Raw genomic sequence first — 19,249 nt, 5'->3', positions numbered from 1 at the left:
TCCCTGATGGGCCCAAGCTGCATACTGAATATTTCTGGCTTACTGATTTTCAAAGGTTTTTGGATGATATTAACAAATAGGAGATCATAATATATATGAAACTCAACTAGATTTTGACTTAATCAGCCCAAATCCCTATGTGTTTCTATTGTAATTCTTCCCTCCAGCATAAAGAATTCCCCTGCTTCTAACAAATCTTTGCAGCAGGTCTGCAGCATCACAAGCTTTAGATATCTTCTGATATAATTTTAAAATCTTCTGAGCTATGAATGGTCCCTGGCAACTCTCTGACAAACAATCATTTTAGTTCTGACAATCTATGGATAGCCGAAGCTGCACAGATCAAAATAAGAATATGGGACGTCCTTAGATATCCCAGCAAACTCTAAAGGGGAAATGAATGTTCTATCCTGAGGCACCACAATGGATTAGAAGGTTTTATCTAGCTGAGAGTGATGGTAAATAGAGCCATTCACATTGGGGGTATTGCTCAAATATATTTTAACACTTTGATCTATTTCTTTGCCCTATAGTAGTTTAGGTAGGCTTCCCAATTCTGCTCACAGTCTAAGTGTTTTGTTACTAAAAAATTTTCTCTGGAATTGAAATACCAAGACTGAGACTTACCTATTCATATTAGGGCCTTGAACCTTTTTGTAGGGAATGTAGCTGACTGCAAATGGCCCTATATCCATGAAAGGCAATCTGTAGAGAATGTGTCAAAGGTACAAAGTGAGTTGTCTTCTTTTCTTTTTCTTTTTGTTTCTTATTTCTTGTTGTCTTATTTTTGTCTTTTTGTTTTCTGCAAAACACTGTAGAAATTAAAGACATTAGATTATAGTGAACAGCTTCTGTAGTGGTCATTTGCTGTCTCTTTGGCAACCTTCTCCTTTTCCTTCTGGTCATAGGGATCTGGATTTTCTTTTAAAGAATTACCTCTCCACCACTTTTTGTAGTCTTTGTGAAGCTGTCAATCAAGGTACACTGACCTCCCCTAGGGACAAGTGTCATTCATTGTAGGCTATCTGGACATCTGGACTTTGAGTCTTGAGTCAATGGATGAAAGAATAAGAAAACAAAAACCTTTTGGAGATGTTGCTTGTCATCAGCAGCATGTTGTTAGAACTGTCACTCTACTTTGCAATCCAATTTCCCTAAGCTGTACTTGTTCCCATCGTGCTGAGACTGGTTCTCCCAAGTCCTGTCACTGATTGTGGTGCCATCCCCTAGTCTTCTGATAAATTCTCTTTTGGTTAAATTACCCAGGGTCTGTTTGTATTGTTTGCAATCAAAGAAATTCAACTAATAGAAATGTTCCAAGTTAGTCAGATGGTAGATGATTTTTATGAGTAGTTAGCCATTCCATAATATGCTTCTGTGTTTCTAATAATATACACATTTATTTTAATATTTTGATTGAAGTCCTGAAAGAGCCATTTCTATAAGTCAATACTTTGTAAGACTGCAGCAAGATGTAAAAGATTTATTCAGGAAACAATCTTAAGCAACAACAGCAATCTTCTTTGCAGAAAAAATGATGGATCAGTAAGGCAGTGCAATTCTAGTGTCCCTAAATCCAGATGGGTTTAGAACGGGGATTGCAAACTGAAATATCTGTAGGAAATGAGCAATGATGCAAACGGATGAGTCATCTGGGATACTTCTCACTTTCATTAAGAATTATAATCTAGCTGATTTTTCTTCTTCAGCCTCTTTGGTTTCTCCTTTCGGTTTCCACCTCTGATAGAGACATGTGCCAAAGACATATTGCTCCACTAAGGAAAACACCAGTGCCAGTGCAATGACAGGTAACAACTGAAACTCGCCATTGTTCTCAAAGAAACAATAGAAATCATGAGGACTCAGAGCTGAAGAATATATGCCCTTTAAATGAGGCAACACTCCTCAGCTCTGGACAATCACCGCTTGTCAGACGGCTGGCTCAGTATTGCCTATATCTTCTGATGTTTTCTAAAGTAGTCAGAAATATTAATGTTTTTATTAAATGTATAATAATCTATTTATTACATATTGGCAGTTAATTCAATTAAAAGTATATTGGGTGAGCCCAGGAAAAAAAATATACATTCTGCTCTTGACCTACATGAGAAGCTGGGCTGTGATATTTGATATGGATTTGAGGCATGGCAAACACTTATTAAGCACACCACTTCAGCAAAGGAAAATTTATTTAAAAAATCAAACTCTTAAGCCAGAACAAGCTACCACAGCATAAAATAAATTCCCAGGGGTGGCCTAATGGGATCCTGCAGGACCCAGCAAGTGATGGAAGATAAGTTAGAGAAGGAAAACTCTTGTGTTGCCAGTAGCTCAGGAGGGTATGTCGATACACTTTGCTTGGCCAGAGAGGCATGTCGTACCTGGCTTGATATGTTGTTCCAGTCACCTCTTATATGTAGAAACGGACTAAAGAAAATCCATTATTGACACTTGAAATTTGTGCAACTTACTCATTTCAGATCTTAAGTGCTCCAAAAAAAAAAAGAATGTTGTGTCTGTGTCAAGTTGCCTTTATGCTATTGTGTTTTACTATATGCATTACCTTAAAAAAAATGAACCGCTCTTTGCCACTAAGCATCTTCAAACTTAGAAGAGAATAAGATTGACATTACTGTTCAGATCCATTAGTCAAACTACCGTGGCTTTGGACAGGTAGTTTCCAAAATACATCAGCCTCATTTACACCCAACAGCAACAAAAGACATTGGATATTTTTCTGCTGTGATGCAAGGTACAAAGATACTAAGGCAGAAAGTTGTTTTGATATACATTGCTTTTAGGAAAAGGATTGGAAGTGGAAGGTGAAATGACAAAATACAAAGGTGAAATGACAAAATACATATCTATATCCTAATGATTATAGAGAAGAAAAAAACAATTTTACCTAGGAGCTAGATTAAAATCAATGAAAGAACAAAAGGATACAGCAAGAAATCAACCAGTATGATAACCAGGGATGTTCCCCCGCCCCAAAATAATACCACTTAGTTTTTAGTGTGTCTAAGTAGAAGCTGTTTATTCTTGAAAATCATTGTTCCCATAAATGCCACTACACTGTTTTTATATTTTATTAATTCTACATGATCACTTTCTTGTACCCCAGGTATTCTACATATCTGCATTTACAATGAACGTAATTAATTTGGATTCTGGAAATAAAGGCATTTATAAACTTGACTTTCCCTGCCCACTGAGACACTGAAGCAGTGTAATACACATATGACATCTGATGTATGTCTTATATTTTTTTAATCTGGATTGATCTTATTTTCTCAAGCTTCTATTATTGGGGTGAAATATGACATCTCTATGAGAGTAAGTCTGATTTCTTATTAATAAAGAAAAATTAGATTCATTATTTGAGCAAATAATTGTAATGTGGCAGGCATTTTCTTCATTATGTTATTTAAATTGTATTTCTCACATCAAAATATCAGTGAAATCATGACACGTCACTTCTTTTACATTTGAGAAAACTGTCATATGAAGAATTTAAATCATTGGCTCAATATCGCACGTTTTACAGGTGGAACAGTCAGAATTTTAGTTCTGCTAGATTCTAAATTGTGCATTTTTCACTTAGCTATACCAACCTAAGGCAGAATGAGTAAGACCTGACCTATAAGAGGGGAATTATTCTAAATATAGTAGTTACTGTTTAAACATTTATGGTAGCACAAGGCTAAGGAAAGCAGGCCATAGGCCGTGTCATGAGATTTCCACTGTAAAAGCATGTACATGCCAGGAACTTAAGAGCAAGGAGTGCTTTCTGTGTGTGCTTCCATCTCCACCCCGCAATGGACCCCTCATAGTGGTCTCTTAACAGAAGCAGGCTGGTGAAGGTGTCCTGTCAAACATCAGCACCATGAAATATGAAGACTTTGGGGAGACTACGATAATAATTCAGTAGTGGCTTTAGAATATCTAGAAAAGAAGATCCTGAGGTGGCAATCTGGTAAGGAAGGGCAACCAGGGAATTTGTCTTGGATCTAAACTTGCATAAAGGAACTTCTGTTTACTGTGTGTTGATGTGAAGTCATTTCGAAGCTGATGGAAATCAAGAAGAGCTTAAAAGCTTCAGAACCTATCTTCCCACATCAATAACCTGAAAAAAAGAGCACTGGCTGGGGAGAATCCCAGGACAAGGGTAAGGGGTGACAGACACATGATGATTTGGAGATGGTTTTCAGAGGTGTAGTAAGGAGTGTAGACTGATTTTAGAAGAAGGATAAAGCAGTTATTGTGAGAGGAAGGCCTTTTAAAAAAAGAAATCAATCAATAAAAATATCTCAGATATTTGATGCCCTCATTGTCTCCCAAAGGGATTAAGCATATTTTCTCTGGGTTAAAAGTTTTTGTTTAAAAAAAGAGCTATTTCACCACAGATTTCAAAAAACTTCGGAGGAGAGTTAACAAATAGGAGGAGAGCTCTGAAGGCTCATGCACATTTGCATGCCACCACTGCTCAGTGTTACAAGAATCCAGCTCAACTCCTTACACCTTACTCAGGAAGTATCTTTATTCCTCCTGACAGCAGGATTAATGGCTATGCTCAGAAGAAAACCAACTGTCAAAAAAAGTTTACTTCTTATAGTTGTCCTCTCTTTCTTTGTGCTGTGTAAGCTTTTTTTTTTCTAGTTTAGATGGTGTGTCATTCAGGGTTCTTCGTGGCAGACCAGAGAACCTGCTACTTTGCGCAGAAAGGGATTAATTAAAAGTACATAAGTGGCTCACAGAATATTTGGAGGGCTGAAAAAACAGATTCTAGCCTGAGCCTCCAGAAATACCCCCAGATGTCCACAATGGGTAATGGGCCCCAAAGATGCTGCTACTTCTGCCACACTGGAAACTACTATAACAGCTGCCAACACCAGAACCATCTTGCCCCCTATCTTATTTATTTGTTTTTGTTTAACAAAGTAGATAGCTTATATTCTTGCTATATTATCAAACAACACCACTAGTAATTACAGCTAATGTTTACTGGAGAAATTCTATGGAATGAAAAAAAAATTTTGTATTAAGAAATCTGAGGAGAAATTAAAAAGTAATTTTAATCTCTTGATTTAATGCAGCCATGTGGCTAGAGAGATGTTACCTCTTCAGCATCTGGACATGTTCTGAGACTATTGCATCTTCTTATACCCTTTACAATCTCATTGAGCATATAGCACATAATCAAAGTAAACCAAGATAACTAGCATGTGGCATCAGGGCTGATGGGTTAAGGGGTGGCCTATGCAGATCTGTCCATGGCAAGAAGTGATAGAGACTGTGGTTCTGTGGCACCAACCATAGCCTCTGCTCCTATCCTCAAACCTGGAGCACTTTTGGGCATCTACAGAACCTGCACGCGATACTTAAATAGACCTCACGGAGTCTTTGACTCAAGATTAGGAGCCATTGTCCTTTATTCAGTCTACCCAAATGAAAACTACCAACCATTTAATACCTTGGTTTTTCTTTTGTAGAGGTTTGTTATACACATTAGTGACAATTCTGACTTCAAATTTTTCCCATCAGTATAAGATTGTGGACCCATTTTTCGTTCTCCACAGATTTGTAAATTATTGTATAATGCAGAATTTTCTAGGATATACACAGGTGAGAACTGTCATGTCCTTGCAATAGTGGGTAGATAAAAAGGGAGAGATGATGATATTGACTAAAGGTTGGTAATAGGGTAATTTGAAAACTGAGTTAATAAGATGCTTGGAGATAGTTTGTGAATTTTAATTTACTGAGTTCTCTGTGTCCCCTTTTCTGGAAATAATTAAGAGTTGACAGTCCATGGAATTCTACAGCCTCTCCTATGGTGAATTGTATTCACCTAGAGTGACAAGTTATTGAGAGAAGAACAGACTATCAATAATGGTTTTATATTTTTAAAACAATAATTTCCTCTTACTCCAGACAGAAGCAACATGCTGTGCAAAATTATACATCATGTTACAGCAGCTGAGAAGACAACATATATCACATCAATGCTGCCTCTGTAAGAGCCAAAAAATTACCATATCTAACAATAATTTTTACTTTAACAGAAAGAACAGAGGACACAGAAAGAAACCAACTTATTCTTATAAATGGGTGGTTTAACACATAGTGAACAAATTGATGTATAAATTGGCTTTGATGAATTATTGTGTTAAATGTGGTTATTTATTATGAGTTCCATTACATAAATTGGTTGCAAAATTATAACAAGTGTTCTTTATTAATCTTACCTTCTCCATGGCTAGAGAATGACTCAAGGCAATTATCTTTCATAGACTTCAGCACTATTAGCGCTAATATACTGAGGAGGGCATACAAGTTCTAATAATACACAAAGAAAAGAAACATGCTTTCTCTTTGCTCCCTACATAGGGAGATGATATTTCTTATACAGTTTCCTTCATTCTCTATTAAATCCCTCTAGTTATTAGTTTGGGGTATTTTTGCAGTAATAGCTACCATAGGTATAAGAAGTATGTTATACATGTTTTTCATGGTATAACATTTAAATTTTAAACAGATGGCATATATCTAGTCTTGAGGAACTAAGAGTTTAATCAAGTTGACTCAGGTGCTTTAAGGCCATATTTGGCTACTTCATAGGAGGTTTAAGCATTTGCTCCAAGGTCCAGTGACAGATTGTAGAACCGTCTTAATGTTTTCCTCTTCAGCATGGGATATAAATAACGGGAAGATAGTGTCTTTCTGAGAAAGGAAAGGAAATATTTCTTCCAAGAATACTCTCATGACCTGACTTTCAGCCAGAATCAGAGATAAAGAGTTGTCTGAGTAGATAACCTATAGCCTCTTCCTAGTTATCAGAGGCCACTTTTTCGAGTTACGAGTTTTTCAGCTCTTTGCTTCTCATCTTCCTCTCTCCTATGGACATGATTTTGTCTTTCTAGTTCTCCTTACATCCCTAGCAAGGCAAAAACCAAAAAAGAAAGAAAAATAATTCATTCTGTTAACTATGTAACTCTGGCTAAAGACTCAATGTGGGATTAAATAATGTAAGTAAGGAGGTACTTAGAAATCATCACTATATAAAAGAATGTAACAAAACAGCACTGCAAATTTGTAGCCTGGAGAAATCAGTCAGATGATATGGCTGCATTTTTTATTATTGAATATTTATCACATATCACTGATTTGTGAGCTCCTCAGATAGGTGCTGGGTGCTGAAGGTGGGTAAAGGAGGGAGAAAGCCTACTGCACAAGCAATGCTAACCAGAAGCTTGATGCCCCAAAACATACCTCACATCTCTATGCCATGTCTTCATCACTGTATAAATGTGTATACAGTTTACAGTTAGGATTTACTGCAGCAACTAAAGAGAATATTCAGTATGACAGTAAATTAAACAAATTATAACTTTTTTTTCCTCCCAGGTGAATATCTATATAGGTAAACCAGTGTGATATGGTTTGGTTTTGTGTCCCCACCCAAATCTCATGTTGAATTGTAATCCCCACATGTCCAGGTAGGAACCTGATGGGAGGTGATTGGGTGATTAGGGTGGTTTGCCCCATGCTGTTCTCAAAATAGTGAGGGAGTTCTCACATGATCTGATGGTTTAAAAGCAGTAGTTTCCCCTGCATTCTCTCTCTCTCCTGCCACCATATAAGATGTGCCCTTGCTTCCCCTTTGCCTTCTGCCACAATTGTAAGTTTTCTGAGGCCTCCCCAGCCATGCAGAACTGGGAGTCAGTTAAACCTTTTTTCTTTATAAATTACCCAGTCTCAGGTATTCTTTATAGCACTATGAAAATGGACTAATACACAGTGCTTGTATGAGGCTCCTTCTATCTTATATTATCAGATGTGGCCTCTTTTCCCAAATTTACTTCATAGTGTAAGATAGTTGCATCAGTTCGAGATCTCTCACCTAAATTTGAGTCAGCAGGACAATGAAAGGGAAAGAGAAAAGTGTGCTCCCTCCCTTTAAAGACATTTGCGGAAGTTGCACAGACAACTCCCATGTACGTATAATTGGCCAGATCTAGTCATAAGAGAGGCCAGAAAATGGATTCTTGATTTCAACTTGTCACATGCCCAGCTAAATATTATATATTCTGGGATTTTCAGTTTCCGCTCAGGATGTAGAATGCTATAAAGAGTATCACTCCCATACTTTCAGTAACAACTACAACAGCAGCATCAGCAAAAACACCAAACAATCTGAAAATTTGTAAGTTTTCTTGGACCCAGCAGAGAACTGATGAGTACCAACTAACATGAAATCTAAGGAAAGTCAGGCACATCAAATAAGAGTCGAGACATGAGACCTTGCTTAACTGGGATAGACACTATTTATCACAGGTAAGAAGAATCGAGCTTAATTTTTAAATTACTTGCTAAAGGTCAACTGTGGGCTGAAAGGAGAATATAGAACCCCTGAAAGGCACAAAGACAGAAGAATTCACTCATCACAGACTTTTCTGTTCACACAGAAGATCAGTAAAAATCCTGAAAAATGTGTCCCTGCTGATGCAGGCCTGGGGCAGTGGGGCCACTGAGGAGAAAGCACAGATTACTCTCCCCTGTCTCTTCTATAAAACAAAGGCCTTAAACTTCTAGAAAGAGAGCAACAAAATCTGATGCTCTTAGTGCATTAATGAAAATGCAATGGGAGGGGAACAGCAACAATAAATCTCTATGCCCCTGAGGGAGGAATAGAAAAACTTGTTGGTCTCAGACCTACAGTTAGGAGTGAGACAAGATCACTTAGAATTACCTAACCCACAAGACTCAGAAAAACAATGCCAGGTGAACACTGAGACTTAAGCAAAACAACAGAGAATGCCCCAAACTACCCCCACACTTCTTCCCTCACCATTCTGAAAGCTTTGAGTGACAGTGGACTACTGCTTGAAGGGGAGCAAGAGCATGCAGAGAGACCCTATTGGAGGCATAGAGGGCCTTTTGGGAAGGCCCAAAATTGAGGGTGGAACAGACACTTCCTCTTTCAGAAAAAGCCCTCTAGCAAACCAGCACACATGATGAATAGAAGGTAACACTAGATGATTTGGAAATTATACAAACACATGGAAATTAAACAATATGCTCCTGAATGACCAGTGGGTCAACGAAGAGATAAAATAGGAAATGAAAAAATTTTCTTGAAACAAACAGTTGTGACCCAACAGACGCAAACCTATGGGATACAGTCAAGGCAGTACTAACAGTAAAGTTTATAGCTGTAAGTGTCTACAAAAGCTGTTGATGGGAATGGAAATTAGTACAACCACTATGGAGAACAGCTTGGAAGTTCCTCAAAAAACTAAAAACAGAATTCTATTGGTAGGTATATAACCAAAGGAAAGGAAATCAGTATATTGATAAGAAATCTGCACTCTCATGTTTACTGCAGCACTATTCACAATAGCCAAGATTTGGAGGAAACCTAAGTGGTCAACAACAGATGATTTCATAAAGGAAACTTGGTGCATATACACAATGGAGTACCATGTAGACATAAAAAGAATGAGATCTTGATATTTGCAACTGCATAGATGCAATTGGAGGTTATTATGTTAAGTGAAATAAGCCAAACACAGAAAGACACAAAACTTCACATGTTCTCATTTATTTGTGGAAGCTAGAAGTTAAAACAATTGAACTTATGGAGAAAGAGAGTAGAATGATGATTACCAAAGGCTGGGAAGGTTTTGGGTGGGGAGGGAAGTGGCAATAAAGATGGTTAATGAGTGCAAAAATACATTTAAATATAATTAATAAGATCTAGTATTTCATAGCACCACATGGTGACTACAGTCAACAATAATTTATTTTCCTTTTTTTTTTTTTTTTTTGAGATGAAGTTTCACTCTTGTCACCTAGGCTGGAGTGCAGTGGCGTGATTGTGGCCCGCTGCAACCTCTGCCTCCCGGGTTCAAGTGATTCTTCTGCCTCAGTGTCCCAAGTAGCTGGGATTACAGGTGCCCGCCTACCATGCCTGGCTAATTTTTGTATTTTTAGTAGAGATGGGGTTTCACCATGTTGGTGAGGCTGCTCAGAAACTCCTGACCTCAGGTGATCCACCCACCACGGCCTCTCAAAATGCTAGGATTACAGTCATCAGCCACTGCACCCAGCCTATTTTACATTTTAAAATAACCTAAGAGTATAATTGGATTGTATGTAAGACAAAGAAAGGATAAATGGTTGAGGTTATGGATTTAAAAAGTTGTATTGGATTAAAAGGCAAGTTTCAATTATATGCTATCTATAGTTAGTCAATTTTAATTATAAAAACATAGGCTAAAAATAAAAGAGATGAAAAAGGATATACTATGCAAATACTAAGCAAAAGAAAGCTAAAGTAGCTATATTAATATCAGCAGAGAAAGGAATATTATGCAGGATAGAGAGGTATATTACATGATGATGAAGAGGTCAATTCTTCAAGGACAATTTAATGTTTATGCACCTAACAGCAAAATTACAAAATACATAAAATCTGATCAAACTAAAATTAAAAGAAAAATCTAAAATTATTGTTGGATACATCAACACTTTTCTCTCAGCATTTGATAGAACAAGTAGACAGAAAATCTGTAAAGATGTGGAAGACTTGAACAATACTATCAACTAACTTCACCTAATTGACATTTCTAGAACATTCTACTCAATTACAGCAGAATACACAAGTGTACATGTCTATTCCCCCAACATATTATACTCTGTACTATAAGACAAACATCAATAAATTTAAAATAATTGAAATTATTCAGTGTTCTGACACAGTAACAGAATTAAATTAGTAGTCAATGAGAGAGAACTATCTAGAAAATCACCAAATTCATGAACATTAAGTGACTCACTTTTAAATATTAGGTATTGCATTATTATTGTCAGAAAGAAAATGAGATATTGTGGGACAACAAGCAATATCTCTCCTAGATATAGACATACAAATAGAGTGTTATGCTGACCAAGGGACTCCATGTTAGGTCATTGAAAGGTTTAAATTGTTGTTACTGACTGACTGTTCATGTCCCTTGAAATTCATATTTTGAATCCCTAACCCACAATATGGTGGTATTTGGAGGTGGAACCTTTGGGAGATAGGTTTATATGAGGTCATGAAGTAGGGCCCTCATGATGTCATTAATATCCTTATAAGAAGATTAAGAGAGTCCAGAGGTCATTCTCTCTCCATCATGTGACGACACAGTGAAAATGCAGCTATCTGCAGCCAGTAAGAGAGCCTTACACAGGAATGTAATTGTCAGGCACCTTGATCTTGGACTTCTCAGTCTCCATTACTGTGAGAAATAAATTTCCATTGTTTAAACCAGCCAGCCTATGATATTTTGTCATAACAGCCTGAACTGACTAACAAATCAGTGCATATTACCAAATTGGAGGGAGTCACCAGCTCAATTTTTTTCCTTCTACCAAATCATTTTTATCCGTTTACCAAGATGCTTGATTTCTTAGGCTTGCCTTGTTCCTTTTGCTCATTGGCTCCTTTTACCAAGGTTTTGACTCAGGTCTATTTATTCACTCTTCTCCTTCCTCCCATACCTCCTTGTGCTCTTTTGGGAGGCAGGAGACTGGGAGAGCAATTAAGGCACCAAATTGACAAAATTGTTAGCAACCCCAAGTTGATCATGCCACCTGGAAAGAATGGTCCCTGCTACCTTTCAGTATCAGAAGTAATAAAACTTCTGCAATAGCAATACCATTAGAATAGTCTAGAAGAGTGGAAATAACTAGTAGAACATACAAAGAAATATGAGCTCTCCATTTCTCTAGTTAGGGTAACAATGCATATGCCATATGATGCATATGTAGGAGATACAATGTCATGTACCAAGCTCAGTTTATCAGTAAGCCTGCAGACTCTGCATGTTTCTTATCTATTCACTAAGCACCTCGCTATTTGATTTATTACTCTACCCCTGTCCAAACTGCTGTATAGTCCAGCTCAGTAATTTTCATTCTTCTGTTTTTACAAGTGGAGTACTATTTGTACACTTTTATCTTGACTTGATCTCTAAATATCTTTATGGTCAAGACACGTTCTTCCTCTGAATGAAACAATCTAATTATACTGAATCAATAGATTCTATTTTTATTAAGAAAATACGATATGTACAATATTCTTAAATATGCTTTAGTCCATAACTACAACTTTCCATCCCAAATCCTTTAACTAACTTCATTCTTATTACTTAACCTATGATCCAATCTTACTTCAGCATGCTATATTTCCTGTCCAATTAATATTACCTATTCCCTTTATATTATTTGAGTAATATTTTCTGTTACATGATAAATTCTATAAGGATATGGAAAATCACTCATTTTTGCTCATTTTATCCTCAGTTCTTGACACATCGGCTCAATAAATATTTATTGCATGAGGGAATAAATGAATTAATGAATGCAGGATATGGATATGTCCCACAGAGGTTTCTCTCTCTCTCTCTCTCTCTCACACACACACACACACACACACACACACACACACATTCAAACGGGAGCCTCAGACTTCTTTGCTAATAGACATGTACCAGCATTTCTCCAGCAGTGTTTGACAGAGTTATCTCATCTTATTCATTAGATATGCCATGCTTATTAGCCTCAGGACATACTTACAAGCTATGCAGCAAAAAGGCCATCCCTGCCATGATAGTTTATTGCCAAACAGAGGGAATAAAATAAAGCAAGCAGCTAGTGCTACACATATACGAACTAATAAACAAACAAAAGGTCTAAACCACTGTGGCATCATTGTGACAGCAGTGTCTTGAAGAAACCCCACTGGTTCTAACTCCGGTCAGAGGCAATGAATGCCTAGAGTGTGTGTATTATAATGGAACTGGGAGGAAATGGTGCCAGTTCTTTGAAACTTGTTAACATGCAAATGATAGATGAATCTTCCCAAAGGTGAGCACTGTCAGCACACGTTCTCTGCTTTAGTCAGGGACGTGGCTTTTTGTGCTATCACGCTATAATCACCAAAGTACCATTTTTACCAAAATATCAAATGATCAGAACCATGTATTTTAAAAGGAATTCAGAGTTGTGAGGCCAACAGAGTAGGTAAGTTTGTTCATGTTATACAAAAGCAGGTTCTGATATTCAATGGATTCTTATTTTGGCTTTTCTATGACTTACAGGTAAGGCACTCACAAGAGAATATTTCAATTACTCTCTTGGCCACTCCTCATCACCCATCATACGATCCTATCTACTTCGTCATTTTCCTTAGTGCCCATAAAAAGACATGCTGAAGTTGTAAAGAGAATGCAAGAGAGATCAATAGCCTCTGATGTGTTGGACTCAGCTCAGATTTTCCCATGTAAAAGATCTGATTTTCGGCTGGACTGCGACACCATGCCAAGGTTGGTCTATCTCCAGAGATGGTGATAAAGGGTCACTTTATATTGTGTAAGAAGCGGCAGATTGTGACTTGTCCTCCAAATCTTTTCACTGGCAGGGAGTAGAGAAAATTGTTTTGGCCAAGTATCTGACCATTCTCTTCTGTGAGGTACGACTCCTGCAGTGAGATTGTATCAGTCAAACCTTATAATTCCCATTCTTCTCTTCTGATGTTTGATAGAGAAATAACACTCATGGAATGTGGGAGAGGGCAGTAGCTAGGAAAGTGAGGGAAAGAGGGTGGTTTAGACATAAAAAGCTCAATTGGTTATGGGTGTAGTGAGAGAAGATATAGCCACATTTTATTTCCTGGTATACCCCAAAGTCAGGAGGTAAAATTCTGCAGAATTCAGTCCTTCTCTCTCACAGGATGATCCGTTCTCTGACAGACACACATATGTACCAGAATTGTCAATGTTTTGGGGGAAGAGAGTAGTGCCGTCACAGAGGACTCTTATTCTGCACATGATATAGGCAGACCTGACTTCTTGCTCTTCATGTTTGTTGACATTTTATTAAGAATTTCACCGTAGCAAAGAAACGAATGAATCTGAGCTCTGAGCAGTGACAGCCAATGGGCCATTTATTTCTAGTGTCTGTGTTTTCCCAAGCTCCAGTGGAAACATGGTAATCTTCATACCTGTCTGATATTGGCATCTAGAAAAGAGCTTGATCTTGCTCAATTTACAGTATATTCAGTCCTTTGAAAGGCTTATTCTAATGCAAGGTCGTGCAATAAGTTTGTGTGCAATTGATGGTGAATTTTTATGTCAGCTGAGATTTATGTCAGAATCCAATGCAATTGTTAGAACAAACAACTTTACTTTGATTTCAACACAAATTTTTCACCGAGGTTTATCAAGTGTCTTGAATCTGTTTCAAAAGAGAATTTTCTCAAATTCTTTATCCTCTGGCCATGAATGTGTGAGTTCTTTGCTCAGCCACGCATTAATTTGGTTTTTGCCAGTGTTAGGAAAAGTATGCAACCCCAATCTATCTGTTCATATCTCAGCCTCCTAGGTTTCTTAAAAATTTTGTTTAATGTTTCCAATGGTAAATACGCCTCTGCTTAGAGACTTCTTTCCTTTTTGTTTTTGTTTTGTTTTGTTTGTTTGTTTGAGATGGAATCTTACTCTGTCATCCAGGCTGAAGTGCAGTAGTGCGATCTCGGCTCACTGCAGCCTCCGCCTCCTAGGTTCAAGAGATTTTCCTGCCTCAGCCTCCCAAGTAGCAGTGATAACAGGCATGTGCCAACTTGACCAGCTAATTTTTGCACTTTTAGTAGAGACGGGGTTTCACCATGTTGGCCAGGCCGGTCTTGAACTCCTAACTTCAGATGATCCACCTGCCTCGGCTTCCCAAAGTGCTGGGATTACAGGCATGAGCCACTGCACCCGGCCCCAAGACAACTTCTTTCATCTCCACTATTTTTCTCTCCTCCAACACAAGTAATCTTGCACCATCCTCTAACTCACATGAAAGTACCCAGCCTAAATGACTGTCATCCTTAAAATACCTTGCTCATCTTTCCTGCATCAGTAGTTTTCTGCCTCTGCCTGCCCCCACCCCGATTCTGCATGTACTGCTTTACCTATCACTGCTTAAGAGTCTTGGGTTCTATGTATTTTTATTTTCCTTGAACAATACTGCTATTTATATGGCCTTCAACCCTTTTGTATGAGATCCCCCTTCTATGGGATTAGGGCCAGGCAGGGAAATAAAGAAGCTTCCTGGATTGGGAAGATGTGATTGAAAGATGTAGCAACTCTTGCCCATATGCATAGTGCATGAAGCAAGTGATATAGGAGTTAAAAAAGAAATTACTTAGGCAGATAGTGAGGGTACGAAAGTCCTTGGTAAGGTTTTCCTTTTAATAAAAAGCAACCCCCAAATCATTTTCTTTTCTGACAAAAAGCAGCCTGTAAAATCGAGCCTCAGACATAGACAAGCAAACTGGAAGCTTGTACAGGCGAATGCCAGCAGTTGTGCCGATAGGAATATACTACCTGGGACTAGGTATGTTCAAAATGGTGGCTCAATCTTCTCTTTTTTGCCAGCCGCGTGCACAGTAAGGCACAGACAAGATGGTGCTGGCCAAGTGGAAAGCCCACTTGTATAATAAGTTTAGGATCGGGTGACCAGCCTTCCCAGTACATTCTATAAATGTCACAACTGGTCGGACCAACCTGTGGGCCCTATGTAAATCAGACACAGCCTCCCGAAGCCTGCCAATAAAATCTGCTGCGGTCTGCCACATTTCCCTTTTCAGACGCCTCTCTTGTGCACCCGTGAGAGAGCTGCTCTCCTCTCTCCTTTCTTTTACAGATTAAACTTTCCGCTCCTTAACTCACACACATGTGTTCGTGTCTTCAATCCTCTTGGCACTAGATGATGAGCCCTGGGTATTTACCCCAGACAGTGATGCCACTTCACAAGGAAACAGATGTTAAAGCCCTTCTCAGAGAATTTTCCAAGAGTAAAGCTGGTGATGGATAGCCAAACATTAATCAGCGAAAAGGAGTTTGACCTATAGAGCCAAGGAGAAGTTGGACAAAGAACGTGAAAAGGACAACAGGCAAATCCAATCCAGTGAATGAGAGCTCAATGAGAATCTTCAAAGGACCACAGTATGCTGTACAATTTTTTTTAAAAACATCTAGAAGGGTATTTTCATGGATTGATTTTTATGGATTTTTATAAATATTTTTCATTGGTTAATGGAAGCCATCCATAAAATGAATAATATTTAATCTATTCTTTCCACTTCAATGGAATGTTAGATAAATAAAATCACCATTGACTGGTGAGTTTAAGGTGGATCTGTAAACATTTTTCAAAAAGAAGAAAAAAAAGTCGTAGTTTATTTTTTTCAGAAGCCTACAGTGAAGTCTATGGGCATATGGGAATCAGAAAACATAACTAAATAAAATTTTCTCTATGATATCTAATCTTTCCTTTACAATTCTCTCTCTCTGAACTTCCCTTTGAATGTGATTGTGATTGGATTTGCTGTTTACAGCTTCTGTGTCCTACAGGCCTGGAGATCTGGGAGCAAAACAGAAAGTACCAGACAACTGAGAGAAAGAGTGCTATAATGAAGTACAAAGTGAGAGGTAACTACTGAAAACTTGGAGAATAGCTGAAATCTTGCACCCAGTGGTTCTTTGCCAAACTTTTCTTATAGGCTTCTTTGGTCACCCTAAAAGTCAGGGTAGGGCAGGCTTATTGCTTCTTATGGTATAGGTGGGCCACATCCAGGCCTCTGCATAGTTTCAATATGTCATCTTTTCAGCAGGGACCTTTTCACACAATTTTGAAGGTCTGTCTAATGATTCATCAAATGCTTTGCTGCATTCCAAAGCACTCTCATTTGAGGTCAGGGAGAACACTAGCCCTTTTTCAGAAGAGCAGAACCAGATTGGTTTGTCCTCTGGCAGCTATTAAGATCTGTGGAGTGACCCACCAGGCAACACTGGAAGGGACTCCCTCCCACCTGCTCTCTCCCAGGGAGATTCTGGGATCACAGAAGGCTTCTGGCTGAGTGCACACTTGATCCTTAGCCCTGAACAGGGACTATGCCAAATGTCATTTTCTTCTATACAGGGACCTATTCATTTAAGCAGCAGCCATGAAATCTAAAGATTTTTTAAAAAACTATTTTCATATCCAATATTGAATATCTACTTTAATTAAAATGGATATTTATTTAAATTATTTAAAGGAGGTAGCTCTTTGATCATGAGTGCTCATTTATGAAGACTGAAGACAGCAGAACTCGGCCTCCTCAAGTCCTAATTAAAAGTGAAAGCCTGAATTAGCATGTAACTACTTGCTATGTTTGTCACATCACTGGTAAAAGTAGTTTTGACGTTCTTATTTTTTCTTACTTGAGATTTCTCCCTCACAAGCAAAGCCTTAGTCCATTTGGGCTGCTCTAACAAAATACCATAAACTGGGAGGCTTATAAACAAGAGAAATTTATTTCTCAGTTCTGGAAACTAGGAACTCTAAGATTGAGTTGCCAGCAGATTGAGCGTCTGGCACGAGCCCACTTCCTAGTTCACAAAATCATAGGAAGCAGCAAACAAGCTCCCCTGGGTCTATTTTATAATGGCACTAATACCATACGTGAGGGCTCTGCCCTCATGACCTAATCACATTCTAAAGGTCCCACCAGTTGACAAAAACAATCAAATGCTCTAAAATATTTGAAGAGATTTTACCCTGAGCCAAATATGAGTGACCAAATGGCCTGTGACACAGCCCTCAGGGGATCCTGAGAACATGTGCCCAAAGTGGTCAGAGCACAGCCTAGTGTTATACATTTTAGGGAGATATGACCCATCAATTAAATCCATGTAAGATTTACATTGGTTTGATGTGAAAGGGCAAGACAACTCAAAGCAGGGGGCTTCCAGGTAGATGTAAAAATCTTCTTATTGGCAATTGGTTGAAAAACTTATTATCAATAGAAAGGAATGTATGAGTTATGATATGGGTTGTAGAGACCTAGGTTTTATCATGCAGATGAAACCTCCAAGTAGCAGGCTTCAGAGACAATAGATTATAAATGTTCCTTATCAGACTTAAGATCTGTGTTGATGTTAATGCTGGTTGGCTTTTCCTAAATTCCAAAAGGGAAGCGGGTGTAATGAGGCATGTCTGCCCCACCCCCTTCCATTACGGCCTGAACAGATTTTGTAGGTTAACTTTGAAATGCCCTTGACTGAGAGGAGGGGTCCATTCAGATGGTTGGGGGATGCCTTAGAATTTTATTTTTAGTTTACACACCCTTTAATACTGTCACATTGGGGATTAGGTCTTAACATATGAATTTTCGGGGGACACAAACATTCAGGTCATAATACTTCCCCCTTCCTCAAAAAAGGTGGTAGATTTTGTTGCAGTATGGTGGATTCCTGAGGTTTATGAGTAGAGATAATTATCTTGAAACAATGAAGGAACCCTCCAGAGTTTCCCAAGCATTATTAGCTTTCTCATCCTAATGTTTGCTCAAGGACTGATTATTTGATATTTGATGTCACTCCCTGACTTCTAAAACAGCTGAATTGCTCTTGGTAACTAGGCATCATTGAAATTTGTAACTTCTTTTCAAATGAGCCAGTATCTGAGGAGTTTAAAAAGGGTAAAAATAGATGAGACTGGTTCATGTTGTTAAGATTTTTAATTCCCCCCTTACAATCCTATCAAAGAAATGAGCTGTCCCATGGCATGATGTAACCTTGCTAGAGCTGTGATTTGACAGAAAGATCGGAGTTGTAGAAGAAGGATCTCTCTATAAGTACTTGAAATAGTGTCCCATGGTAAGCTAAGGTTCCTGAGATGTAATAGTCGTGCACAAAAGACTCAGGGGACAGAAAGGTGTCTTTGTTTATTTCTTTGTTTTTGTGTAGCCCTTGATCTTTTGCCTCCAGGTATCAACAATTTTTTTTCCTATCAGTTGATTCAACTGCCCAGTCTTATTTCTTCTCTTCTTCCAGTAACAGGCTTTACTCTCTGGCCACAGAGATAGGACCATGAACCACATCAAAGTAGCATGGACAGAATAGTTAGGACAGGATATGTTTTCAAAGTAGGCAAGTTGGGTTATTCCCTGGGACTGTTGTAAATTGTAGTTGCCAAGAAAGTCCTAATTTCTCTCTAATTGGGTAGCTAAAAAGATGTGAGCCAAAAGTAGCAGAAATTCATGTTCCTTCTGCTTAGAGGAGCTGAAGATTTTAAAAAGCCACAATCACAATGCCCAGACAAAATTATAATTATATCTGACGCCTTAGTTCCAAATGTCTCATAGGCCAGCTTCCCCCTACTCTTTTCATAC

At 38.2% G+C, this 19,249-nt stretch overlaps 1 protein-coding gene across 2 annotated transcripts in view; it reads left to right on the top strand.

The window, feature by feature from the left end:
* The window catches only part of TMEM232 (transmembrane protein 232), a 351,524-nt gene extending 335,166 nt beyond the window's left edge, over positions 1 to 16,358 (top strand). Inside the window, exons 15-16 of one of the 2 annotated variants that reach the window (XR_001742182.2) lie at positions 13,149 to 13,373; positions 15,736 to 16,358. The gene's annotated coding sequence lies outside the window, so the exon portion shown is untranslated. Of the gene's footprint in view, positions 1 to 13,148; positions 13,374 to 15,735 lie in introns of those variants that run through there. The other variant, XR_001742181.2, reaches the window with a different exon arrangement.
* The last annotated feature ends 2,891 nt before the right edge of the window (positions 16,359 to 19,249 follow it).

This window comes from Homo sapiens, chromosome 5, assembly GCF_000001405.40.
Source record: "Homo sapiens chromosome 5, GRCh38.p14 Primary Assembly".
NCBI classification, from domain to species: Eukaryota; Metazoa; Chordata; class Mammalia; order Primates; family Hominidae; genus Homo; species Homo sapiens.
The sequence above is the reverse complement of the archived record's forward strand: the minus strand, read 5'-3'. Positions and strand labels throughout refer to the sequence as shown.